This window comes from Homo sapiens, chromosome 1, assembly GCF_000001405.40.
Source record: "Homo sapiens chromosome 1, GRCh38.p14 Primary Assembly".
NCBI classification, from domain to species: domain Eukaryota; kingdom Metazoa; phylum Chordata; class Mammalia; order Primates; family Hominidae; genus Homo; species Homo sapiens.
This window is the reverse complement of record NC_000001.11, coordinates 104,130,633-104,157,394: the sequence shown is the minus strand read 5'-3', so window position 1 is coordinate 104,157,394 and position 26,762 is coordinate 104,130,633. Positions and strand designations below refer to the sequence as shown.

The window sequence follows — 26,762 nt, the reverse complement described above, 5'->3', positions numbered from 1 at the left end:
GACAAATATAAGAGGGACAGACAGGCAAAATTACCAGTAGAGTATGTCTGTGTCCCTAAATACATAAAAGTGAATATAATCACATTCATATTTTTACTGTGCTTACATTTCTGGATATGAAGTTATAAAGATATGCTGCTGACTTTAATTTACTTTTCCAATGTCCTATTATTCATATAAGACTTCAGAAGTGAAATATAGTTCAAATAAAGCAATTCAAAATAATTACACAATTGATGGGATTAATGGACTATTGACTATAGTGAAGCATAATGTATTTAGCTCAACGCTTTTAAACCTTGTCATCAATGTGACAGCATATACTTGTTCTTTTCAAATAATATTTGATTAAGGCATTTTACAAGCCCAATCATCATCACTGTGTGACATTCCATGGCCACGAGTGTGTTATACTGTATTAATTCACACATGGATGCACTGATAGTACTTAGCTCCCAATGTGAATGAATATTGCACATTTCATGCTCTGTCATGTCTCATTGCATTAATAGTCATGTGTGTGATGAGGTCTGTAATCTACGGCTATTTTACAACATTTTCAAATGCACTTGTCATGAATGGAGTAGCCAAGTACTTCATTAAGTAATCTCGTTTTCAGGAAGCATGTGTCTCCAGGAGCAGGTTGGCATTTAAAGTAATGTAAGTTGCTTTCATCTATGTAAGACAAAAAAGAGGGCACTTGTAACTCTTTATTTACATCAGATCTATCTCATAATTCAAATAATGTGCTGATAAGACCTCTTATTTACCATTGCCACATCGTCTTCTTTTGGGTAGATATATTTAACTTTATACCAACTACTAAGGAGTTCTTCTGAAACCTTTTATTACAATACTTATTAGAACATGTTATGAGGGAGAGTGCAACTTGCAGTAACAGCCCTGACCATGGGTACTTTGCACCCATCTTATTTTTTTTCTTATTATTAATTAAAAAATTGACTGACAAAGATTATATATATTCAAGGTCTACAACACGATATATGTTTACATTGCATAATGATTACCACCATTGTATTAATGAACATATCCATAGTTACATTTTTTTGTGTATTTATGCCTATGATGAGAATTTTTTTTTCTTTTTCTTTTTTTTTTTTTTTTTTTTTTTTTTACCGGAATCTCACTCTGTTGCCCAGGCTGGAGTTCAGTGGTGCCATCTTGGGTCACTGCAAACTCTGCCTCCCAGGTTCAAGTGATTCTCCTGCCTCAGCCTCCTGAGTAGCTGGGACTAAAGGTGTGCATCACCAGGCCTGGCTAATTTTTTGTATTTTTAGTAGAAATGGGGTTTCACCATGTTGGCCAGGCTGGTCTTGAACTCCTGACCTCAAGTGATCTGCCTGTCTCAGCCTCCCAAAGTGCTGGGATTACAGGTGTGAGCCACCATGCCCACCCAGTGAGAACTCTTAAAATATGCTCTATTATCAAATTACAATTAAACAATACAGTAGAACTTACTCATCTTATAACTGAGAGCTTGTACCTTCTGACCAATATTGCCCCATTCCACCATGACCCACCATTCTCTCTGCTTTGATGAGTTTGAATTTTTAGATTCTACATACAAGAAGTTCAATGCAACATTTGTCATTCTGTGTCTGTCTTATTTCACTTTGTATAATGTTCTCCAGGTTCATTAACGTTGTTGCTTGCAAATGGCAGAAAGATTTCCCTTTTTTTTTTTTTTTTTTTTTTTTTTTTGACAGGGTTTCTGTCTCTCTGTTTCCCAGTCTGGAGTGCAATGACATGATCTCAGCTCACTGCAGCCTCAACCTCCTGTGCTTAAGCAAACTTCCACTTGAGCCCCAACCCCCAATCCCCAGTAGCTAGGACTACAGGTCCATACCTTCATGCCTGGCTAGTTTTTGTACTGTTTTGTAGAGACAGGGTTTCACCACCTTACCCAGGTTGATCTTGAAGTCATGGGCTCAAGAGATCTGTCTGCCTCAGCCTCCCAAAGTGGTGAGATTTCAGGTGTGAGCCACTGTGTCTGGCCAAGATTTCCCTTTTTTAAAAGGCTGAACAAGATTCTATTGTGTATATATACCATATTTTCTTTATCCATTCACCCATTAACAGACCCTTTTTTCCATATCCATTCATCTTTTATTAGTGGCTTTAAAATTTCTTTTCTAAGGATATGAAACTATATGATCATTAAAACCACATGTGGAAAATCACTTTATCAGTAGAATCCAGTTAATAAAAATTATTCTGATTATACGTGCATCGAGGCAAAAATACTAAAGCTTTAAACTGTTAGTTTTGAAGACACACGGGACCAACTTCTGGATCTTTTAGGTAGACATTTTTCAAACGAGGCCAGGAACTCTGTTGGGGTTTCAACATACAGTGAAAGGGAGAAGTGGCACTGAACTTTCTTCCCCAGAGACTGGCCAAGTATTGAGAACACAGAGAGCAGTGTCAATACCAAGGAGTAAGGGATAGGGCATATTGGAATTGTGGAAAATCTTGGCAGAGATTAGGGGATTCACCAAGAAAAGGGTGATATCAGCTTCCTCATAAGTGGGCTTGCTGTCATTGTCCCCCAAAATGTCAAGAGGAAGCAGAATAAGTGGCCAGACCTTTCCTGCTCTGGAGGCTTGGTAAGTTCAGGAGGTTGAAGAATTTGAAGGTTTTCCCCAAGTGCTTTATCATATGACTGACAAACTATTTATATTATACAACATAAATCCATTTATGGGATTGTTTTGTTTGCTTGTTTTAACCTCTAACAACTAGACTTCAGACAAACAAGTGAAAACAATAACAAAAGTAATAGCTCTTCAAAGGGACTCAGCAGCCAAATCAAAAAAGAGTTGGCAGGACAATAATAAAACACATTCAGAGAAGCAGAAGTGCTAAAGAATGTGGCTACCAGAAGAGTTTAAAGATATTGAAGTACATCACACATACACACCCACATATGAGATATTTGGTGATTGAGAAACCTATGATTTTTTTTTTCACATAAAGTCTTAAGAGATAAACTTAAGGAGAGGATAGTCACTGGTGAAACAGACTAGTGACCCAGAAGATCCAGGGTAAGAAATATCGACCGGGCGCAGTGACTCAAGCCTTTGTAATCCCAGCACTTCGGGAGGCTGAGGCGGGTGGATTACCTGAGGTCAGGAGTTTGAGACCAGCCTGGCAAACATGGTGAAACCCCGTCTCTATTAAAAATACAAAATTAGCTGGGCCTGGTGGCGTGCACCAGTAATCCCAGCTACTCGGGAGGCTGAGAAAGAATTGCTTGAACCCGGGATGCGGAAGTCACTGCACTCCAGCCTGGGTGACAGAGCGAGACTCTGTCTCAAAAAAGAAAGAAATACATTGGCAGCCCATTCAGAGGGCCCAGAGATCTGTGTCTTGCTTCAACAGTGTTTGGACGGAACTGATCCAGGGACTCTCTTTCTTCCAGCCTCTGACCACCTTGGGATCTCCTCTCCACTTGCAATCTCCGGGACCATCTTCTTGGCCATCTTCTGCTTCTGGGACCAGCCAACACCGTTTTTGTGGTTAGCTCCTTCTTGCCAACCAACCATGAGCTCCCAGATTCATCAAAATTATTCCACGGAGGGTGAGGCTACCATCAACCGCCTGGTCAATTTGCACCTGCGGGCCTCCTACATCTGCCTCTGTCTGGGCTTCTATTCCCACCGTGATAATGTGTCTCTGGAAGGCATGGGTCACTTTGGCGAATTGGCTGAGGAGAAGCGCCAGGGCACAGAGCGTTTCCTGAAAATGCAAAGCCAACACGGCAGCTGCGCTCTCTTCCATGACATCCAGATGCCGGCTCAAGATGAGTACGGATAAAACCCTGGACGCGACGGAAGCCACCATAGCCTGGAGAAAAAACTAAATCAGGCCCTTTCGGATCTTCATACCCTCAGTTCTACTCACACATAATCCCATCTCTCTTGCTCCCTGGAGAGTCACTTCCTAGATGAGGAAGAGAAACTCCTCAAGAAGATGAGTGACCACCTGACCAATCTTCATAGGCTGGCTAGCCCAGAGGCTAGGCCGGGTGAATATGTCTTCAAAAGGCTCACTCTCAAGCACGACTAGGAGCCTACTGCCCCCAGCGACTTCTGAAGGGCCCCTCGTAGAGCAACAGGGCTTCCGCCTAAGCCCCCCTGCAGCCACTAGGCAGCTTTTTGAACTACCCTGGAGCATTCTCCCAATCCTCGGAACAAGTGGAAATAAAGTTTTTTGAAGCAGAAAAGAAAAGAAAAACACAGTGCAAAAATACAGAAATCGTAATACAAAAATCAAGAGACTGGACTGGAGTATAGATTCAGGAGCGCTAAAACATGAACTATAAAAGTTTCAGAAGTAGCAGAAATGAAAAAAAAATGTGCTAGTAAAAATGGCGTATATGTGCCACATTTTCTGGATTAAGAAAATGTGGCACATATACACCATGGAATACTATGCAGCCATAAAAAATGGTGAGTTCATGTCCTTTGTAGGGACATGGATGAAGCTGGAAACCATCATTCTCAGCAAACTATCACAAGGACAAAAAACCAAACACCACATGTTCTCACTCATAGGTGGGAATTGAACAATGAGAACACATGGACACAGGAAGGGGAACATCACACAGTGGGGCCTGTTGTGGGGTTGGGGGAGGCGGGAGGGATAGCATTAGGAGATATACCTAATGCTAAATGACGAGTTAATGGGTGCAGCACACCAACATGGCACATGTATACATACGTAACAAACCTGCACATTGTACACATGTACCCTAAAACTTAAAGTATAATAATAATAATAATAATAATAATAAATGGTGAGGCAATAGTTAAACAAATAATAGAAATAAAAATTGATCAAAGATACGTCAGTTTGTAGATCAAAAATCTTCCTAAGTTCTAGGCTAGATACACAATAATGAAAATCATAATAACATGTGTTAGGTTGAAAGGAAATATCATGAGCTTCTAGAGAGAAAACAAAATTTTTACCTAGGAAATATATATATATGTATATATATATACATACATATATATTCAGACTGGCAAAGTGCATCTCCTTTTGCAGCACTGGAAGCTAGAAAACAGTTGAACAGTATTGATATATTACTGGCAGGGAAAGATTTCAACCCAAATATGTTATTTATCTGCCAGAGAAAAAGAAAAATATTTGAAGCCAGGAAAGAATTCCTAGAGTATATATTGTCATCATACTCCAAACTTGAAACAAACATCTGAAAAAAGATTCTAAGCAAACATCAAATGAAAAATAATGTGGATTTTAAGATGAGGAAATAACTAGAGGAAAGAAGTGAGCAATAAACCTTGTGAGATATGCTTATGGACAAATAAAGACTGCATAGAAATGAGAAGTAGAAAAGCTAAAGAAATGCATAGAAATGAGAAGTAGAAAAGCTAAAGAAGAACTTTTAAAATAGAAGGGATCTATCGTTAAGAGGAATTAGTGCTAGACTATCTTCACAAAAGCAAAACAATGAGAGTGAGAAAGCGAAGAAAGGAAGGGAAGAAATAAATTACTATGGTATCTTCGAAATGAAGAAAGAGAATGGGGAATGAGAGTACTGGAAATTAGAATACTGGAAAGCTCCATCTTATTTGTATTTGGGGGAATTTGAGCATCTGTCATGGGAAAACATTTGGGGCATAGTGCTTGATTATGACATCAGGAAAAGTGAGTATAAGTGTTAATAAATGGAAATGTACAGTATTTCCATCTACCAAGGAAAAGAAAGAGTAATGAAGAAGACTTTGAACACAGAAGCAAACATGAATGAAGTGATAAAAAGAAAACGATAAAATAAGTAATAAATATGAAGTAAAATAAAAATTTAGTATATCATTAATTACATATAATGTTAGTGGATTAAATTCTTCAACTAAAACACAGAAATCAGTTTAAGGTTAAAAAAAATTCTAAAGGATCTTTACAATAAAGACACCCTAAACATGGTAAGAATTAAAGGTTAAAATTAAAAGATGAACAAAGAGATAACAGGTGTATGCAAACAAACGACAAGCAAGTATAGTGGTATTAATATAAGACAAGGTGGAATTTAAGATTAAAAGCAATTAACAGGATAAAGGACATTGGGAAATAAGCAGGCATGCTTATTATGGAAATATGAGTTATAAATTTATATAATAAAATTAAAAATTAGATAAAAAACCAAGATCATAACTGGAAATCAAAGAACTTGATAAAATACAGTTATACTGGGAAACATCACTGTAAGTCTTTCAAACTGGGTATGTGCAATAAAACTCAAGGGGAGGACAGTCACTTGTTATAATCATTCATGGTTATAAATCAATTCTAGAACTTGAATGTTCCCTATTTTCAAGAGAGGGTAAAATATAAGAGGATACAGCACAATTAGCTAAAGTAAACATGTGATTTGCTTTTGTTTATATCCTTCCATTATATTATTCCAGAAAGGCTGATATTTGTCTACTTTGAAACATGCAATAATTAAACTTAGAAAATATTTGTTTCAAAAACAAGATTATTTCTTGCTTATATTTAAGCAAGCCATAAACCAAGAAGAAGCAAGCAAATATAAGAATGTGCCTATTGTAATTACATACTTAACAACATTCTTGTCATTGATTTAGTGTGAATAATGAAGCATACTATAAGGAGAGCATAGTGTAGTTATATTTTTTAATGAAGGAAGCCAAGAGAAGAAAGTTAGAAAGTTGTTTACTGCTCTTTTGACTTTGCCTTTAGTTTGCAGGGGATATATTTCCCCTGTTGAGAGAAAACTTGCAAAAGCTCCAGTGTTTTGATGTATGGTATCTGAACTCCAAAGAGAATGTAATCTTTGTGGTAAGCTATCCAAAAGAAGTCCTCATGGAATTTGAGCAACCTCTGAAAAAGATAACCACAGCAGCAGAAATGAAACACTTCTAAGAACAAACAGTAAAGCATGCAGTTCTAGTTTATTCAGTTTTTATGTCTGGTATCTACTTATAATTTCTATATTTCTAACAATCTCAGGATGATCAGAGTGATTTTCTCCAAAAATATGTAAAAACACAATTAGACAAATGTTTAACTCCAACTCCTGGAATCAAATTGTAATCTTTACATATTTAAATGTATGAGATCTGATATCCAAGGGATTCTTTATCATTTCTATAAGAAAAGGAAAGATATTCATAATAGAAAAACATATGCTTAGTTTAAACACATGGACATATTTTAATAACTGGCAATAAAATTATAATAATAATGCTAACATCACTGTTAAATATATTCAAATATAATGTTCTACAGCAAATTTTTTCTAATGATATTTATCAAAGGGAATGAGTATTAATAGACTAGGTATTTATTATAACAGATATTTAGATTAATGTGAAATATTCAGTATACTGAAAACTATACCTAATTATTTACATATTTGGTTACTAGAAATTAAATGCTTCAATAATTGAAAGAATAATTAGTTTTATATGGCTGCATATGGTCCAATTAAAAGAAAATGAAATCAAAAACAAGGAAATATTGTCATTTTTCTTCTCACAAATCAATTCTTAATTCAATACAAATATAAAATATTAAATATCAAAGATAATTAAATTACCTTAATAATCCTTCATATATCATCCAGGAATTGATATAAATTGTATAAATTTTGAAACAATTTATATTTTCACAATGGATCCCTTTGTTTTAAGTTGCATTCCCTCAGAAGCTGATGTTGAGACATGGACGTGAATACACATAGTTTTTTTGGGAGAGGATCTGATCCCAGGAAGCACCGATGGAGCAGAGGAAAAGTGCAACAAAGAAGGATAAAATGCCAATAAAATGGAATGTTAATTAGTGTTTATGAATAATTTATTACTGTGTTTATCTAGGGCTCAAGCACCCAGGGATCTCGAGAGATTTTAAAGAGCACCCTTCACTGTTTTCACACTGAAGCACAAGAACTTCAGTAGTTGAAGGATGCTCCCAAAGAAGTTAATTCCTTGGAATTTTAAATTGTGTAAGAACCTTTGAGACAGAGAAAGTTCTCAGGCAATGAATGAGTCAGTGGAGCTTGCAGTAGAAAGGCTTTGGGATGGCATCCATGAAATAGCATATGGCAAGGACATGTAGATAGCTCTACACATTTTTAGGGCATAATGGAGCTCACAATATCTATTTTCTCCCAGAGACAATTTAAGAAATAGTAAATTAAAACCCCAAGATTATGTGAGCTGATTAAAGTTTTAACAACATTTATCATAATCACTGTGCATGTAGTATAGTAAAAAGAACATACTTTTTATTTATAACAAATTTGTTATAATTCAGTTCCACACATAAATTCTCATAGCCGTGTGAGTTTCAGAAAATTTCTTAATCTTTCTTTTTTATTCAATTTTTATTTTAGATTCAGGTAGTACATGTCCTGTATTGTTACCTAGGTATATATTTCCTGATGCAGAGGTTTTGGGTCTAAATGACCCCATCACCCAAGTACTAAGCATAGTGCTCAGGAGTTTTTTCACCCCTTTACCCCCTTCCCACCTCTCTCCTCTAGTAGTCCCTAGTGTCTATTGCTGCCACCTTTATGTCCATTAGTACCCAGTGTTTAGCTCCCAATTATAAGTGAGAACATGTGGTATTTGGTTTTCTGTTCCTCCATTAATCTACTAAGGATAATGGCCTCCAGCTATGTCTATGTTGCTGCAAAGGACATTATTTGATTCTTTTGGTTGACTGTGCACTATCCTTTTGTGTATATGTACCACATTTTCTTTATTTACTCTACTATAGATGGGCATCTTGGTTGATTTTACGTCTTTGCTATTGTGAATAGCACTAAGATGAACATGCAAGTAAATGTGTCTTTTTGATAGAACAATTTGTTTTCTTTTGTATATATACCCAGTAATGGGATTTCTGGGTCGAATGGTAGTTCTAAGTTCTTTGATAAATCTCCAAACTGCTTTCCACAGTAGCTGAATTAATTTACATTCCCAAAAGTATATAAGCATTCCATTTTCTCAGCAGCCTTTCCAGCTTCAGCTTCTGTTGTTTTATGACTTTTTAATAATGGCCATTTGGACTGGTATGAGATAATATCTCACTGTGGTTTTAACTGGTATTTGTCTGATGGTTAGTGATGATGAGCATTTTCTCATGTTTGTTTCTCACTTGTATATCTTCTATTGAGAAGTGTCTGTTCATGCCTCTTGCCCATTTTTTAAATGGGTTATTTGTGGGGATATTTAATGGGGTTATTTGTTTTTTGCTTGTGTGATTAATTTCCTTATAGATTCTGAATATTAGACCTGTGTCAGATGCATAGCTTGTTAATATTTTATCTTATTCCATAGGTTGTCTATTACTATGTTGATAGATTTTTTTTTTTTTTTTTTTTTTTTTTGCTATGCAGAAGCTCTTGTTTAATTTTGCTCCGCTTGTCAATTTTTTGCTGTCATTGTGGGACTCTCTCTGCTCTAGGTCCAGGCAAATCTCCAGGCTTTGGGAGCACCTACTTGCCTGGTGCAACAGCCTGAGTCACCCAACCTGTCCTGTGTGGAGATCTTTGAGCAAGGGAACCCTCTCTGCTCCACATCCCAGCAGATCTCGAGGCATCTGGAGCACCCACTCTCCTAGATTAGGAGCTTAGGCTCCCCTCCATCCCTAAGCAGATAATTTAGAACCGAGGAAGCTCTAGGTGTTTGGTGACCACCCACTGGATTCTCCCTTGGCACTGGTGTTTGTGCCTGCCACAGAGGACCTTCGGTCAGACCTGCCCTTCCTGACTCCCTTGTCCTCCAACACCACAACTAAGCAGCGAGCCCAGAGCACAGTGCATTCCATGAATCAGCCCATTATCTGAGGTAACAGAGAGCTTCTGCTAGTAAACAAGGATCAAGTATATACCCAGCCATTGGCCACAGTCAGCTCTTACTTATATATGCTGTCTAAGGGCTTGTACAATGAACTACACAGCCCGATATAAAAACTGCCAAAAGAAGTGCATAGTGTTACAGAAGCAAAGCCAAAAAAACCAGAATTCTTTACAATCTTAATCTTTCTGAACTTCACTTTTTTTTTTTTTTTTTTTTTTTTTTTTGAGACGGAGTCTCACTCTGTCACCCAGGCTGGAGTCCAGTGGCATGATCTCCGCTCACTGCAAGCTCTGCCTCCCGGGTTCATGCCATTCTCCTGCCTCAGCCTCCCGAGTAGCTGGGACTACAGGAGCCTGCCACCAAGCCCGGCTAATTTTTTTGTACTTTTAGTAGAGATGTGGTTTCACTGTGTTAGCCAGGATGGTCTCAATCTCCTGACCTCGTGATCCGCCCACCTCGGCCTCCCAAAGTGCTGGGATTACAGGTGTGAGCCACCACGCCTGGCCCTGAACCTCACTTCTGTTGGTAAGAGAGAAAGAACTGCATTCAGGTAAATCATGTTACTATTAAATCAGATTAAATAACTTAAAACATTTATGAAGCCTAATGTAGCCCAGATATACTTCAGGTATTCAAATAATTAATTTCCTTTTTAGTAAGATCTAAAATTCTGGGTGATGTTAAATCATTCTTTTACTATTCGTTATTTTAAGCTCAGGATGACTCCCTCAACATTTAGTTAGATTATATTTCTTTGTGTATTTCTTGGGTACTAGGTTTTATTCTACTTATCTATCCATCTACTAGGAAACTGATTTGTCATTATTCTTGACTATGAACCAATTTGGTACTTTTTTTTAAATTTTATGTACAAGAAAACTTAGGTATTGAGTAGCTGAGTAAGTGATGGGCTAGGGTGTTAAATCAGAAAGCATAAATAATTTTAAAAAGATTAAAACCTGAGACAATATTTACTTTCAAAGATGAATAAGATGGAAAATAAAAGAAACTGAGAGCCATAAAGAGAGGGCAGGATGAACTGAAAGTAGAATTATTAAAAGGATCTGGATCAAATAAAATTAAAATATGTAAAATAAAGCAAAATTATTAGGAAAACAAAATTGACTTGTTAATAAATTAGTGAGATATTTAAGACAGTAAGGGACAAGATTTTTGGTATAAAAAGTAGAAACATTTATAGAAAAGACAACATAGAAAATTTCCTAGAAGACAGAGTAAGAGTACAATAATGAAAATTATGAGTAAGAAAAATATAAACAATCAAAAACAAGTTTTTACATTTTAACTTATAATTAATCTCAAGGGAGAGCTTTAAAAGTGGATAAAGAAAGAGTAATTCAATTTCATATATTGCATTTTATCTTCACAATAATCATATAAATAGAAAAAACATACTTGATTTTGATTTCAAATGATATTAAACTGATGACAACAATATGATGTCAAAAAATGTTAAATCTTACATAACCACACAAAGACTTGCATGTGAATGTTCTTAGCAGCATTTTTCTTAAACCAAAAATTGAAAACAACTTAAATGCCCATCAACTGGTGAATTGATATACATATCAATGGAATACCATTATAATGTATTACTATTCAGTGATAAAAAGAATGAACTACTGATACATGCTAAGTACAAGAAGCCAGATAAAAAACACCACATATTTCATGATTCTAATTTATAGAAAATATTCTGAAAAGGCAAATCTATAGACACAGAGTAGATTAATGGTTTTCTATGGTGACGAGATGGGGGACAGATGGCAAGGTGAAGATTAACAGTTAGTGGACATTAATGATCTTAATGGGGTGCTGAAAATGTTCTGAAACTGACTTCCAGTATTTTGCACAACTTGGTAAATTCACTAAAAAATCATTGAGTATTCACATAATATGACATGTAAAATCTACTCCAATCAAGTTATAAAAGTGTTACGTTTTGTACAAACAGAAAAATATTAAAGCTCCAAAAGATAAAAGTGAGCAAAAGACACACAATTCAATAAATATATGAATTTGAAAGAATGCATATCTTTTAACTATATTAATTACGACAAATGCAAATAAAAATTGCTTGCAGAAGATTGTCTCTCAATCCTCCAGAGAACTTGTTAGGAAAGGGAAAGATGGCTAGTCAAGGAAGAGAAAAAAGACTTTGGTTTTCATACTCCAGACAAATACATATTTAAGAAGGAGCTGGGCTGTCCTCTCTTCACCAGCAGAGGAATAGCAGTTCCTCCTGTGTATTGCAAAGTCTACTTGTCAAAATACCAGAGATATCCTTGGGCTTCCCCTTCTCAGACTGCCAACTGAGTAAGAATGTGATTTACTGGGAGCAGTCAAACAAACACAGGCCATGTAACCTGCCATATCAATACTGAGCAGTGCTTTCATAATTGATCTGCTGCAACATTTAAAAGATGAAAAGACATTTTAAAACAAATAACTCTAACTAAATCCCTATTGTGTATTTACATTTGACGCATACTACATATACGTACTTTCAGAATCAAGTTTATAAGCAAGTTGTAGGAGCAGCTTTATATACAAGGCATAGAGCTTAAATCATTCTACAGGAGTTTCTGATGACAAAAGAAAAACATCATCACACAAAGTGATTTGTGTATTAAAGTATCTTAGCCTCAGGACTGGCATTGTCTCAGGGACTTCTTAATCAGCAGAAAAACATCTTGAACATATCTTTATCATAGCACTTAAAATCTTATAATGAAATGTGCTGCTTGTGTATCAGTTTTCAACACTAAAGTCACTAAACTATAAGATCAATTCTTTAGGGAAACTGTGCCTTGTATTCAATTTTGTTGTTCTAGCAACTAGCCCAGTGACATAGTAGGTGCTCAATAAATATTTGTTCAAATAAATTAATCCTTAACTTACCAGTGTAGTTATAAAGTACACAATTTCCCTATGAATGTGCATCTTGGGATTGGGATAAACAGCCTGAACTCCTTTTTGTGTTTCCTTTTCTCACAGAGTTATCTATCCTTTGCCAGCTACCCAATTACCAGTTATAATGAAGCATGGTTACACGGCTTGCTCCCAGGCAAATATTTGTATGCTAAATCAGGTAACCAGACCATATTTAGCCTTTGCCAGCATGTGATCATTCTTTTAAACAAGGGAAACATAAATGTGATTAGGCATTCTCACCAAATATTTATAAATTCAAGTGCTTTAAAGCCCATCCAAATAATGTCATTTCCATCAATTTATAAAGGTAAGATGATTTGTTCTGGTACTCAAATTTATGTAAGTTTAAATATATATTGCATCTTTTTAAATATTTTTCTCGAACCATTCCATGATTGACTTTTTTCTCAAAGCTTTTCAAAGCACACAAGAGGTTTACCTTATTATAAACAGAAGTTACCTATTTATTCATCTATATTTTAGTATAAAAATGAATTTTATTGCTGTCAAAACTTAAAGCCTGGTGCTATGGCTTACACCTGTAATCCCAACACTTTAGGAGGCCAAGGTAAGAGAATCATTTGACACTAGGAGTTCAAGACCAGCCTGGGCAACACAACAAGATCCCATCTCTATAAAAAATTTTAAAAATTAGCTGGGCATGATTGCACACCCCTGCAGTCCCTGCCACTCAGAAGGTGAGGCAGGAGGATCACCTGAGCCCAGGAGGTCAGGTTGCAGTGAGCCATCTTTGCACTACTGCATGCACTCCAGCCTGGGCAACAGAGCAAGGCTCTGTCTCTAAATACATACATATATATATACACACACACACACACACACACACACATACACATAGACAGACACACACACACCCACATATACATATACACATATATATACATATATATTTACATATATGTGTGTGTGTACAAGTTAAAGTTAAAAATCTATTGTAACATAATATCTTAAATGTTGGGTAGTTTGGAAATAAGTACTACTGGGATCTTATTAACATTATACAATATATGATATAGGGTAATTTTAATTTCATTCCATTTATAATGTCATTTAAATTTTGAAAAATATTATTAAGCACAGAGATAAATTAATTTATTTGAAAGTTCTGATATTTTCATTTTGTTATACTATTAAGAATATTTTTTCTTTAATTTTGTTGAGTTGTTCTATCAGTAGGCCTGAATTTCTTAGAATTTTAGGAGCAGTAGTAATTCTTTCAGTGAATCTTTTTGCATTTTAGACATTGTTCAAAAATAATGTGAGAATACTAAGTATTGCAACTTAAAAACTGAAACAGGAGGCTGTTTTAACTTGTGAAGTCACTGTTACAATTAAAGAGATCATTTTTACTAGAATAATGAGACTCAAAGCAAGATGATAGTGATTGGCTGAGAATGGGAAGAGAAAGAACATAGACTTCTTAAAATGTCTAAAAGTGAAAGGAAGGAAAATGATGAAGTTGTGGCATGAGGAAAAGTAGGCAGTGTGCAGGCAGATAGTTTAGGTTAGAAAGCAGAAGCCAGTGTAAAGAAAGAAAACAAATATAGATAAACAATGAATAATTCATCACACAATATCCTACAGGAGGTTGAAAAGAAAAAGGAAAGGAAGGAAGGAGCAATATATAACCAAAATGAAGACTAACATTTGAAAGTGCGGAAGAGCATCTGGCACTGAGAGTCATGCTGGAGCAGAGTGAGAAGGCATCGTCACAGGTTGTGGGCCTGGCATGGGTGAGGCGTCCAGCACAAGTGCTGCAAAGAGGCTGTTCATGTAAATGGGCAGCCTGATGTGGGCTATCAGAATCTGAGTGGAGTAAGTATGGCACCAACATGAGGGCAAAGCCTGGGGTGGGCTATACACATACATATACATGTATAAACACACACATATATACACAGATATGTATATATGTGTGTGTTTGTGTGTGTGTATATATATCTATATATTATATATATAGATATATATAGATATATATGGTATATGTCTATTCACTGAGAGAATCTGGGCACAATAAAACCCCAATAGTAATGAGTGCACCTAGTATCCACATGCTGAATTATAAATATCATTATCCACTAAAAGGAACCAAGGGTCCTTGGAGAAATGGCTAAATCTGCAGGTGGAGCAGGGAAATTAGAAGATGAGCCTGGAACATTTATTGTGCCAGATAGCAAGGAAGTGCTTAAAGAAGAATAGGAACATGTCCAGAGGACATAGAAGCCAGCTTGAAGGAACTCTCTCTCACTGGCCAACTCTAAGAAAATATCAGTATCAAAATAAAAATTAACAATAAGTTGTTATCCATTAAATAAAATGATAATGCATGCATCCACACTGAAATAATATATAAATATATTAATATATTGAAAGTTGAATATTATATTGAGTTATTCCAAAGTACTGCACCTCTACACAAATTATTCAATAATTAAAAAGGGCAAAAGAGTCTCTTCACAGGAGAGAAAGCTGTTAAGACATGACTTTTAATGAAAGAATCAAAGTAAACAACACAGTAATAAGAAAGGTAACCTGAACCTGTACACAACTGGGAGAAAGCAATGAGAAGAACACATATTATTTGTCTAATACTCTTGCCAATGAAACATAATCTAAATCTAGTTATGAAAAAATATCAGTCAAAAAACAATTGAGGGCATTCTGCAAAATAATGGATCTGTTATCTTTAAATTTCAGTCACAGAAGTGAAAGTAAAACTGCAGAAATGTTCTGGCTGGAAGAGACTTATAAAAACCTGTCAACTAAATATAATACATTATTTTGAACAATATTATTTTGCCATAAGGTACATTACTGAAAAATATAGAAAAATTTGAATGAGGTCTGAAGATTATATGTAGTAATGTATGACTGTCAATTTCTTTATTTTGATAGTCGTAATTGCGGTTATATAAGAAGACAAGTTTGTTTTTAAGAATTATCCAAATTATATTCAGGGCAATGGAGCATTGGGTTGACAACTTATTTTCAAATGGTTTAGGAAAAAAGTCATTTGTGGTACAATTTTTCTATAAGTTTAAAATTGTTTCTAAAATTATATAAAAAATAAGAAAATGAACATAAAGCAACTTGATGTGGTAATGGAGCTATTATATACCTTTATTATATACCTTGATTGTGCATACATTGGTCAACACTCAATGAAGCGTGTCTTTAAAATGAGTACATTTCATTGTATACAAACTACAGTTGTACACAAGTGCACTTCAGTACTGTTGGTTAAAAATATGTAGCTATATTTGAAAATAAGAAAGAAATATCTTGATTAAAAATACAAATTAAACTCATGATGGTGAGAAGGTACTGAATTTTGTGATTTGATGTGAGAAAAACAGCATGAGTTCGAAGGCCACCTGAGAAGACAAGCGTCTTGCATTTGGCAGAAAATTACAATCAGGATCCACTCATTAAGTCTAAAGCTGGAACTGTGTTATCCATTTATTTAAAAAAATAAAAAGCTCATTTATTAAAAAAAAGAGCTTCAATGGGCTTCCCAATTTGCAGCTGTGAACACATGGGATCAGAACCTAAAGATTCAGCACCTATAGCCACAAGGAAGACTTTGAACTAAAGACCTATCCATTCTGAGGGACCAGGATTTAAGCAAACAGTAAGTTACCATAAAGGGAGGAACTTGGTCAGGAGTTTAGCTCCTCAACATAAAATACCAAATTTAAAAGAACATATACTTCCAAGAAAGACAATCAACACACTGAACAAAATGCCAAAAGAAAAGGAAAAAATATTAGAGTAATCCAAAATAACTATAAAGCAACTGTATTTATAGATATTGTATAAAGTGATGAAATCATGTATGTAAAAATAAGAATTTCTTAAACAAGAAAGGACAGTTATGAAGCTAAACACCAAGCAAATTTCTATAGGAACTCTGGGGAATAAAAATCAGTAAAAATGTCAACATAAATAGTTACAACTAAAAGCGAATTTAACAATTGGATATAGCTGAAGAAAAATTAATTGATTACAAGATATAATGGAGAAAATCTTTAAGAATGTAGCACAGAAAGTTTAAATAATCAATGATACTAAAGAAAAACTAAGAAACACAGAAAATGGAGCAAGAAGTTTCAAAATATCTAATAAAGAAGCAGCAACAAGTGATATTTGGAGAGATAAAGGCACTATGTGGGTGTGTGTGTAAAGAGAGAGATATTCCCAGAATCTACCAGAAAAAATTTCTGTTACCAGCCACGAATCCATATGGATCTGCAGCAACCTCAATTATTGCCTCCTCGGAAGAAAGAATTTGACTGAGGGGCATAAGCCAGAAGGAGAGACTGAGGCAAGTAACCTCACAGGTGCTCAGAGAAAGGAAAATTCAAGAAGAGAAGTCAGAAGTTGATCATGGAGGGGCAGAGAATCCATAAATGCTAAAGGTCTCACATAAATGTGAAAGGACTCATTCTCTACACCAGGAATTGAGCCCTGGCCACCATTATAAAATGGTGAAGACTTACCTGCTGAGCTACAGAATTGGGCAGTTTTCATTGTTCTTTCCAGAAGGTTCCTGGAGGCAGCCAATTTTGAGCTGTCAGTGGCTTTTAACTCACTCAAAATAATTTTTAGTGTGGCCCGGCAAGGTGACTCATGCCTGTAATTCCAACACTTTGGGAGGCCGAGGCAGGCAGATCACCTGAAGTTGAAAGTACAAGACCAGCCTGGCCAACAGGATGAAATCCAATCTCTACAAAAAAAAAAAAAAAAAAAGAAATACAAAAATTAGCCAGGCCTAATGGCCTGTGCCTGTGATCCCAGCTACTCAGGGGGATGAGGCAGGAGGATGGCTTGAACCTGGGAGGTGAAGGTTGTGATGGGCTGAGAGTGAGGCACTGCACTCTAGCCTGGGAGACAAGAGTGAAACTCCATCTCAAAAAAAAAAAAAAAAAAAAAAAAAGCTATAACATAAAGTCAAAAATTCCTATCTTCCAGACAGCAGAGAATAAAAGAAAGTATTGCCACATGGTTACAAGGTCAAGCTCCCAAGGACTTAAAACAAGACAACAGGGAAACTTCATCTAGCTTTTTGGTTGGTTTGTTTGTTTCAAGGACCTGCAGTAAAGTTTGTAACGTAAGTTTCCCAAGCTGCCTTGACCAGTGGGCTTATGAGATCCTAAGCCCATGTTTTGTCCTGAGGTACCACTCTCCAATATACCACAACACAGAAAGACAAATGTATAGCACAAAATACACCAGATTCCTTATAAACTGAAACCAGCTTCACAAATCCTTTTTCTTACTAATTAAAATGTTGCAGAGGAGACAGTGATTTTTACCATTGCTACAGTAGATTTGCACAGAGAGAGAGGCCAGAATTCCGACTGGTAAGAATTTACCCTGTTGTCAGCATGCCAGGTTTCTGGGTTCCCTTTCCCTGAGCAGCCCTAGCAACCTTTCTCTCTGTATTGTCGCCCTGGGGGCCAAGGGGCAAAACAAAGAAAAATTATTATTATCTTTTTATTTCATGAAACCACAGGCCAAAAAGCCTCTTAATATTGTAAGATGCTGCCCAAGTGGTTTCCTGGAGTAACCAAATTAATATTTTCCATTTTGGCCAGAGCAAAATATGCCTGACAAAACACAGATATTAGCCACTTCTCTTAGCAACCAAAACCGAACTGGAAAGGTTCAAACTTGCCCCCAGTTGGCCATTTTAGAACACACACAGAGAAAACAGGAGAATATGAATGCAGGTTCTAACACAAAATATAGGAAAGGGAAAGGAGAGAAAGAGGGAGAGAAAAGCATTGACTGCAGTGGGTTGGGGAAGGCAAGGAGCTCAGTGAAGCCAGAGAAAGACCCACCCGTTGCAGCAACAGTGAATCAAAAGTTCAGGCAGCCACTTTTTAGTAGCAAAGGGATCTTTTCCAGCTGTCTCATCTGATCTTAAGTTTTCCTCTGTGGGGAGAAAAAAGCTCCCCATGTTCTATGATCCTGCACATGCCACCCATAACTGTAATTAGACAAAAGTCATTTTCCTTCTGTTAGGAAGTTATGGATTGTAGTGTATGTTACTATGCACATCTTGTGAGTGGGGAGCAGATACAGAAGTTATCTGCATACTGTAGAAGTTATCCCCGCTCAAGAGACTGCTCAGTTAGATTTTTGCTAGGGCTTGCCTGAATAAGTGTGGGTTATTTCTAAACCCCAGAGGTAGGACTGTCCAGGTTGAAGTTATTGGTTAACAATTTAGTTAGCTTGTCTGAGAGAAATAGGGATATTAGAGAGAAAAATGAATTCAGAGGTGGAGTAAATATTAAGTGAGCACAAATCATGGAAAGTGTATTTTTGCCCTAGAGAGGTGTGGGGTATTTCAACTTTACCAGGGACTGGTGGGAGAATGGTAATTGGTCCCTTAAGTAATATAAAGGGGTATGAATCTTTCCTTTTGAAGGAAGGGGATATTATTTGCCCTGATTACCCAACATTATTTGGAGGAGAGTTGCTTAGAGAAGGAGATTAGCACAGAGTAGGCAGCTTTTGAATGCAAAAGGAGCATTTATAATTTTACTTGCCACCTCCAGAGTTGCCCTTGGCTTTGTTCTGTTGATGATGATATCTGAGCTGGTAGCTGCTGGAGCAGAGATCCCTTCCACTCAAGGCCATTAAGGGTTGGGATTCTGTCCTGGGGGCCCTTGTGGTAGAGAAGACAAGCCACGCAGGGCTTTTCCCTATTTTTATGCCATTGGGGCAGTTTGCCTTCCAGTGGCCTGGCTTCCTGCACCAATGGCAGTTACCTGGAAGCCTATCCTTAGGGCAACCTGGAGGGTTATGCACTTGAGAACAGAGGAGATACTGGAGTGAACAGTGGACCCTCTACTCATCCTTGGGATTCTGGAATAACCAGTCTTACTTTGTACCCCTAACCTTTCATCTGTGTTCTAATGGCAACCTGTTAGCCTGGGACCAACCTTCATCTCTGCCCTATGGGGCTCTTGTGCCTGTGACTTTGGGCCAGCCTATATCCTTGACTCCATGATCTTACAGTGACTTTTGCTTGGAGCATTCCAGGAAAAAAAAAAAAAAAAAAAAAAAAGATTATCTTTTTTTCAGACTCCCATTTCCTACATTATTTAAGTAGACAAAAAGCCTGTTTTTTAGGGGCTGCACTTCCCTGCTTCCTCCCTTAGAATATAGCCTTGGAGGTCTTGATGCATATTGAGAAAGACGTGGATGTAATTAGAGAAATGGAGGCTACGGGAGGAAGTGAGAGGATGCATGAGGAATACTCACGTAAGGGCCTTTATATGCTCACAAAAACAGCAGCCTTTGGATTTGCAAGAGCAACATTTATTTGCCCTCTTGACATAAAGTGGTAACCTCCAGAGGACTTGGAGCTTGGGATAAGAACTCACAGATGGCAAAGGAGGAATTTCCCCTTTTTTCAAAGGGGTGCTAGCTCACAAAAGCCAATAGGTGGGATTCTTAAAGGGCCACAGAGTGAGGCCCTATGGAGGCAGACAACCTGCTTCAAAAGCCACCAGAAAACTTGGCCCTGGAGCATAACAGGAACAAAAACCATGTGGTAAGTCATAAGGAGCTGGCAGAGCCAGAGTTCCAATTAGTGCCATTCCCAGAAATGTGCCAGCACACAGGGGAAGGGCTGAAGGTCATCCGAGCTGGTAGGGTAAGAACAAGTATAAATCTCAGGGGATATCCTCAAGGGAGCCCTTGTCTTTGCTGACATGCAAATGCAGTAAAAGTCATGAGCACATGAATAGCAGGGAGTGTGTGTTTAAGAAATCCCATGGAATGCAAAGTGAAAGCAAAGAGGCAGACTTGCCCCTGAGGTGGATGGTCCAGCAAGTGTACAAGGCCATTGTAAAACACACACAGAGAAAACGAGAGAATAGGCAGTGCAGGTTTTTGGGAAACAGACGGTTTTAATTGAAAAGGCAGAGGAAACCCAAGACATTGCACGGTTTTAGGCTTTAGACCTACCACTCTCACAAGCCTCCTGTCCAAGAGGGCCATTAGTGCTTCAGTTCTACTCAATGCAGACCCCAAGATCCTTTCCACCCCCAAAAGCCACCCATCCATGTGAGCTGAGAGATCAGCTGGGTGGAGAAGAGTTACTTATGACTGAGAAGAATTGTTCTGGGTGTTGGTTAGTAAGCAGGAGAGTAAAAGGAGAGAAGAAAACCTTGTACAGGGTTGAATGCCTCCAGCCAAAGAAGGTGAGACATAAAGGTATATTAACACTACGGAATGTATCCAAGCCATGTAGCACCAAAGTACGTTGGTGATGGAAGTTATCCAAGTCACACGGCAGCAAAATGTATTAGCGGTGGAAGCTATCCAAGTCATGGCACCAAAATATGTTACTGACATCAAATCCCTGGAGGTCTGCAGCAACCTCAAGTCATGGCTCCTCAGAAGAAAGAATCGACTGAGAGACATAGGTAAAAGAAGATGCCAAGTCAAGTCTTAGAGCAGGAGTGAAAGCTTATTAAAAAGCTTTAGAGCAGGAATGAAATGATGGAAAGGAATGAAACTTTGAAGAGGGTCAAGTGGGTGACTTGAAGGACAAGTGTGTGGTTTTACGTTTTGACTTGGGGATTTCTATGTTGGCATGCTTCTGGGGTCTTGCATCTCTTCTGCCCTGATTCTTCCTGTAGGGTGGGCTATCCGCATGTACAGTGGCCTAATGTGCTTGGGAGGGGAGCATGCACAGTGTGTTTACTGGAGTTGAATGCATCCTCACTTGAGGCATTCTTCCCTTCCGCCAAATGCCCCTGGAAGATCACATAACAGTTATGCTCCGCCATTTTGCCTCTTAATGTGCACGCATGTGTGGGGAAAAGAAAGAGAGATCAGACTGTTACTGTGTCTATGTAGAAAGAAGTAGACATAAGAGACTCCATTTTGTTCTGTACTAAGAAAAATTCTTCTGCCTTGAGATGCTGTTAATCTGTAACCCTACCCCCAACCCCGTGCTCGCAGAGACATATGCTGTCTTGACTCAAGGTCAAATGGATTTAGGGCTATGCAGGATGTGCTTTGTTAAACAAATGCTTGAAGGCAGCTTGCTTGTTAAAAGTCATCACCACTCCCTACTCTCAAGTACCCAGGGACACAAAACACTGCAGAAGGCCTCAGGGACCTCTGTCTAGGAATGCCATGTATTTTCCAAGGTTTCTCCCCATGTGATAGTCTGAAATATGGCCTTGTGGGAAGGGAAACACCTGACCGTCCCCCAGCCCGACACCGGTAGAGGGTCTGTGCTGAGGAGGATTAGTAAAAGAGGAAGGCCTCTTTGCAGTTGAGATAAGAGGAAGGCATCTGTCTCCAGCTCGTCCCTGGGCAATGGAATGTGTCTTGGTGTAAAACCCGATTGTATATTCCATCTACTGAGATAGGAGAAAAACCGCCTTAGGGCTGGAGGTGAGACATGCTGGAGGCAATACTGCTCTTTAAGGCATTGAGATGTTTATGTATATGCACATGAAAAGCACAGCACTTTTTTCTTTACCTTGTTTATGATGCAGAGACATTTGTTCACATGTTTTCCTGTTGACCCTCTCTCCACTATTACCCTATTGTCCTGCCACATCCCCCTCTCTGAGATGGTAGAGATAATGATCAATAAACACTGAGGGAACTCAGAGACTGGTGCCAGCATGGGTCCTCCGTATGCTGAGCACCGGTCCCCTGGGCCCACTTTTCTTTCTCTATACTTTGTCTCTGTGTCTCTTTCTTTTCTCAAGTCTCTCGTTTCACCTGATGAGAAACACCCACAGGTATGGAGGGGCAGGCCACCCCTTCACGCATAAGCTTAGTCACCCAACTCCTGAGATCTTATTAGGAAGTTGCTGATCACCAGTTTTTTTGTTTTGATTTTTTTCCTATCTATAGGGAGACTGCCTTTCCCTGGCACTGGCTGTGAAAAATTATTATTTTAGAGAGACAATTAACAACTCCCTGACCATCACCTAATGGTTGCCTGACATTCCTGGTTGCAGGGGGAGCCCTCTCCTGCCCTGCTCATGTCTTCCTGATGACCTACTGTAAAAATTGCACAGGTTGAAAAATTTCATAGTTTGTAGAATAATCATAGATTGTAGAATCATGGAGTGTAGAATAAACTTTTTTTTGAATGAATATCTCATCACCTCATAGAGATACTGCTCAACATGAAGAATGAAGAAAAGAAAATACCCCCAAATCACCAATAAACAAAGGTAGATGCTAAGAGAAAAGTGTTGAGAGGATAGAATTGTAAATATAAAAAGTTTATGTACTGCAAAATTTTCAGTGAGTACAATCAAAACTTTTAAGACATTAAGAATCACAAATCATCCTTTCTACAAAAGGAAAAATGAAGCCAAAGGAAGTGGGATTCAAGAGCAACAGTGAAAAGCATGTATTATAACATGATGAGGAACAAAATGATAACGTAAAATCATACATTAAGGGGAGAAGAAAAGCATAGTTTTTGAAAAGACAAAATTGGCAAACTACCTACCAGACTAAAATTTAAGACAGAGAGAATGCTTAATGAAAGAATATTAGTAATGAAAAAAATGTAACTATAGATATAAATTTAAAATATGAGTTGTATAAATTTAAATATTTAAAGATATAGATTAAAGAAAGATATTTTTTTCAAAAAATAATATTGCAATACCCACAAGAAGAAATAGTAAATCTGGATAGGTTAAAATCCATTAAAGAAACTGTAACACTCTTGAAACATACTACCAAATAAGGCATAGGAATAAAACAATGGTATTTAATTTCTCACTTATTATTAACTATATTGTCTTTTCTTTTCCCCTTTGGTGAATGTGAGAAAAGAGATCAGGGAAATGTGTTTTTGGTTTATAAAATGAAAAAAACAAACCTAAATATTGTTTACCTTTTGAATCTTTAAATATAATCCAATTATTAGAAATTTGAAATGCCATTAAGCCAAAGCTGAAGTAAAAATATCTTTGAAATGACACTTACAATTTAATTCATAAGGGAAAATTATTAGTCCCTACCTGAAATTGCTTCAAAATTAAGCTGTATTCTAGCATATTATAAATAAATTGTCTTTTATAATTCATGAATAAATAACTATTCTCCTTGGGGAATTATTCATTTCATCAATTAATATCTAGATTTCATCTAATTTTTCTAGAAAAAAATAGAAAATTTGTCACTGTTATTTACTTGCACTTAAAAATAAAACAAAATATCACTCAAAAGCAATGACTTATGTTTTTTTAAAACTATATATATTTAATTTTACAGAGACAGGGTTTCACTATGATGCCTAGGCTGGTTTCAAATTCCTGTGTTCAGGCAATCCTCCTCCCTTGGACTCCCAATGTGCTGGGATTACAGGCATGAGCCACTGTTAGCCTAAAAATATATATTTATAATTTAAAAGCTTTTTAAATTTGAAAGAATGTTTTCTATAAAAACCATGCCCCTTAAGATTAAATGTTTAGTAGGGTTAATCTGACCTATAATTTTTAAAGCATTGATATTCTAAGATTTCAATTATTAGGCACATTTTATAAAATGGTATTCTGAACACCTGGGGAAAAAATGAACAGATCAGACATGATGTTTTGTTTTGTTCTGTTTTTATGTTTCTCACATTTCTACTTAAACATGTTTCTACCAGAGCTACAATGCTAGCTGATTTATTTTTGACAGTGGATGTGAGCATAAATCTCTTTTTGTCTAAGAGAGGGCATCTAATCCAATTGGTCATTTGAAGGAATTGACTGTATGTTTATCCCAAGTTTTTCTCTAATCCAGTGCTTTAAGGAATTGAGTACCTTCTAACTTAACATTTTTCTTTTCTCTTAAAATAAGCAGCCTTTTTCAGACCACAGGTTCCAACTATCTTCTGAGGACTGTGGTTGCATTGTCACTTCAGCATTCAAAGTCTTTGCTGGGCTGTTTGATTACCTCCCACATGAACTCTACTCATTGACCAGCAGATGGCCTGTTAGTCCACTTCTCAGTCTTTGGCATTCCAGTGAGAATCAGATCTATGCATATGCAGCTCAGCAGAGATGCCAAGACCACATAAACTAATTCATAGGTTATGCTTTTCTCTAGCAACCCTCTCTGGACAATCTCTCCCACACTTTCTGGTTTTCTAATGTCCTCCCTTTTATTCTTCTAATTAGAAAGGTGTGGCTTTACTTACCGCACTTTGCCCTGCATTTCTATGATTGCATTGGGAGCCACGTAGTAGAGAAGAAAAACACCAGCAGAGAAGAAAAACTCCAGCCCTATCCTTTAAGGAATTGCAGTTCAACTGATCAGAGAGGAAGTTTCCCCATCTCAGAATTTTGGCTTAAGATTCCTGTTGAAAAGGCAGGAGCCTGCACACAGCATGCTTTGGAACTGCGATAGAAGAAATTTGAAAAAAGGAGAGTAGAAAATTGGAATTTCTCATGCTCCTTGAGCTAGTGCTAGAGTGCTTCTTTGGCTCTCTTCCTCTCTATGTCTCAGGGGCCCCTTCTGTGCTTCAAATTACAACGATTTGAGGTGAGGGGATACAAGCATAAAAATAAAACAAAGGTAAACTCCCCTTAGGTTCTAAATTCTGGTCTTCTTCCCCAAACTACCTGCTACTATTCACTTTACAGAATCTCAGGTAGTTGCTTTATACATTCTATCCAGCCTTCATAGCTGCATTCAATAGTATAGACTGGTAAAATGGGCTTATTTCAACTAGTCTAGAACATGAACCACTGGGGGAAACCAAGAAAATAAGTTGGAAAAACAACAGCCCCCACGATGGCAGCCTACTCTTAAGACCACAAATAACATTCCTTCTCTTCCTCTCATAATATCCATTCTAGATTTCCATCACCCTCAGCTAGCACCAGTTCTAGTCTCAGTTGTTTTCCTGCAGTAGAGAATCTGAGCACAAAATCTCTATGCTTTTTTCAGAGTGTAATTCCTACACTTGTCTATTTCTCATTAAATTGGGCAAGGGGAAACCAAGAAATGCTCACGTGGATCATGTGGGTATCAAACAAATTCCTCTCAAAGCGTGACAGTATTCCTACCTCTTCCCCATATGAAGATCAGTTACACCTGTCTTAAGATGTTATTACTAATTTTGTTTGAGGATGGTATTTTAAGAGATTCTTTATCAACATTTCAGAATGAAAGGGCAATAATTGCAATAGTGAGGTGAATGACTTGAAAATCAGAAAGGCCAAGTAAGAATTGAACTTAACTGTATGGGGTGGTATCTGGATTATGTGAAATGACCTATGGAAAAGACTTTCACAGTGCCTGATAGATATATGCCCTTGTGAATTTTTTTTTTATTATTATTCTCCATGACACATCACTGTGGTTGCCATAGTTCCCAGTTTTCCTCAGGACGCCCACTTCATGTGTGCTTACGCAGTGCAATGAAAATAGTGGCCCTTTTCACTTCAAAAGTTATCCATTTGCACATTAATATTTTATGCTTACCATGCCCTTTGCTATCCTATTGGACACTTGAGTTGATTTCCTTATATTTCTAAAATCCATCAGCTTCTCTACTCCCCTTTCTTTGCTTCTGTGAAATGCTCAGAATGTTCTGCTTGGATTACTTCTACAGCCTTTTAGCTAGTCTCATTGCCTTCAGTATTGCTCCTTTGATCCTTTTTCAATACTGACAGCAGAATGACCTTTCTAAGTTCAAATAAATTCACATCACTGAGATCACTCAAAGACTTTCCAGAGATGTCTTTATACAAATTATTTATCCTAGTAGCTATGATTCACCATGATCTAGAGCCTGCTTCCATCTTATCTCAACAGGTCACTCACTGCCTTGGAATCTGTCTTCTGGGTGTGATGAAGCAAAGGCATTGCCTTTTCCAGGTAACATCAGTAATCCATTCCCCAAGATTAGACACT

The 26,762-nt window shown here is 37.2% G+C and overlaps 1 long non-coding RNA gene and 1 pseudogene across 1 annotated transcript, besides 1 other annotated feature; one reads left to right on the top strand and one right to left on the bottom strand.

Annotated features, from left to right (window-relative positions):
* Positions 3,358-4,066, top strand: FTLP17 (ferritin light chain pseudogene 17; annotated as a pseudogene).
* Positions 4,067-6,669: 2,603 nt separating this feature from the next.
* On the bottom strand, positions 6,670-25,190 carry LOC105378879 (uncharacterized). Its single transcript, XR_947656.3, has 3 exons — positions 25,042-25,190; positions 7,610-7,770; positions 6,670-6,891 (listed from the first exon to the last, which is right to left on the bottom strand). It is a non-coding gene; the product is annotated as an uncharacterized LOC105378879 (long non-coding RNA).
* Positions 21,802-22,523: an enhancer, noted in NCBI's record as "OCT4-NANOG-H3K27ac hESC enhancer chr1:104677494-104678215 (GRCh37/hg19 assembly coordinates)". NCBI's record gives its function as "activates a minimal SCP1, AML or CMV promoter by ChIP-STARR-seq in naive H9 embryonic stem cells {active_cell/tissue: H9 hESC(naive)}" and the evidence as "EXISTENCE:reporter gene assay evidence [ECO:0000049][PMID:30033119]".
* Positions 25,191-26,762: the final 1,572 nt, after the last annotated feature.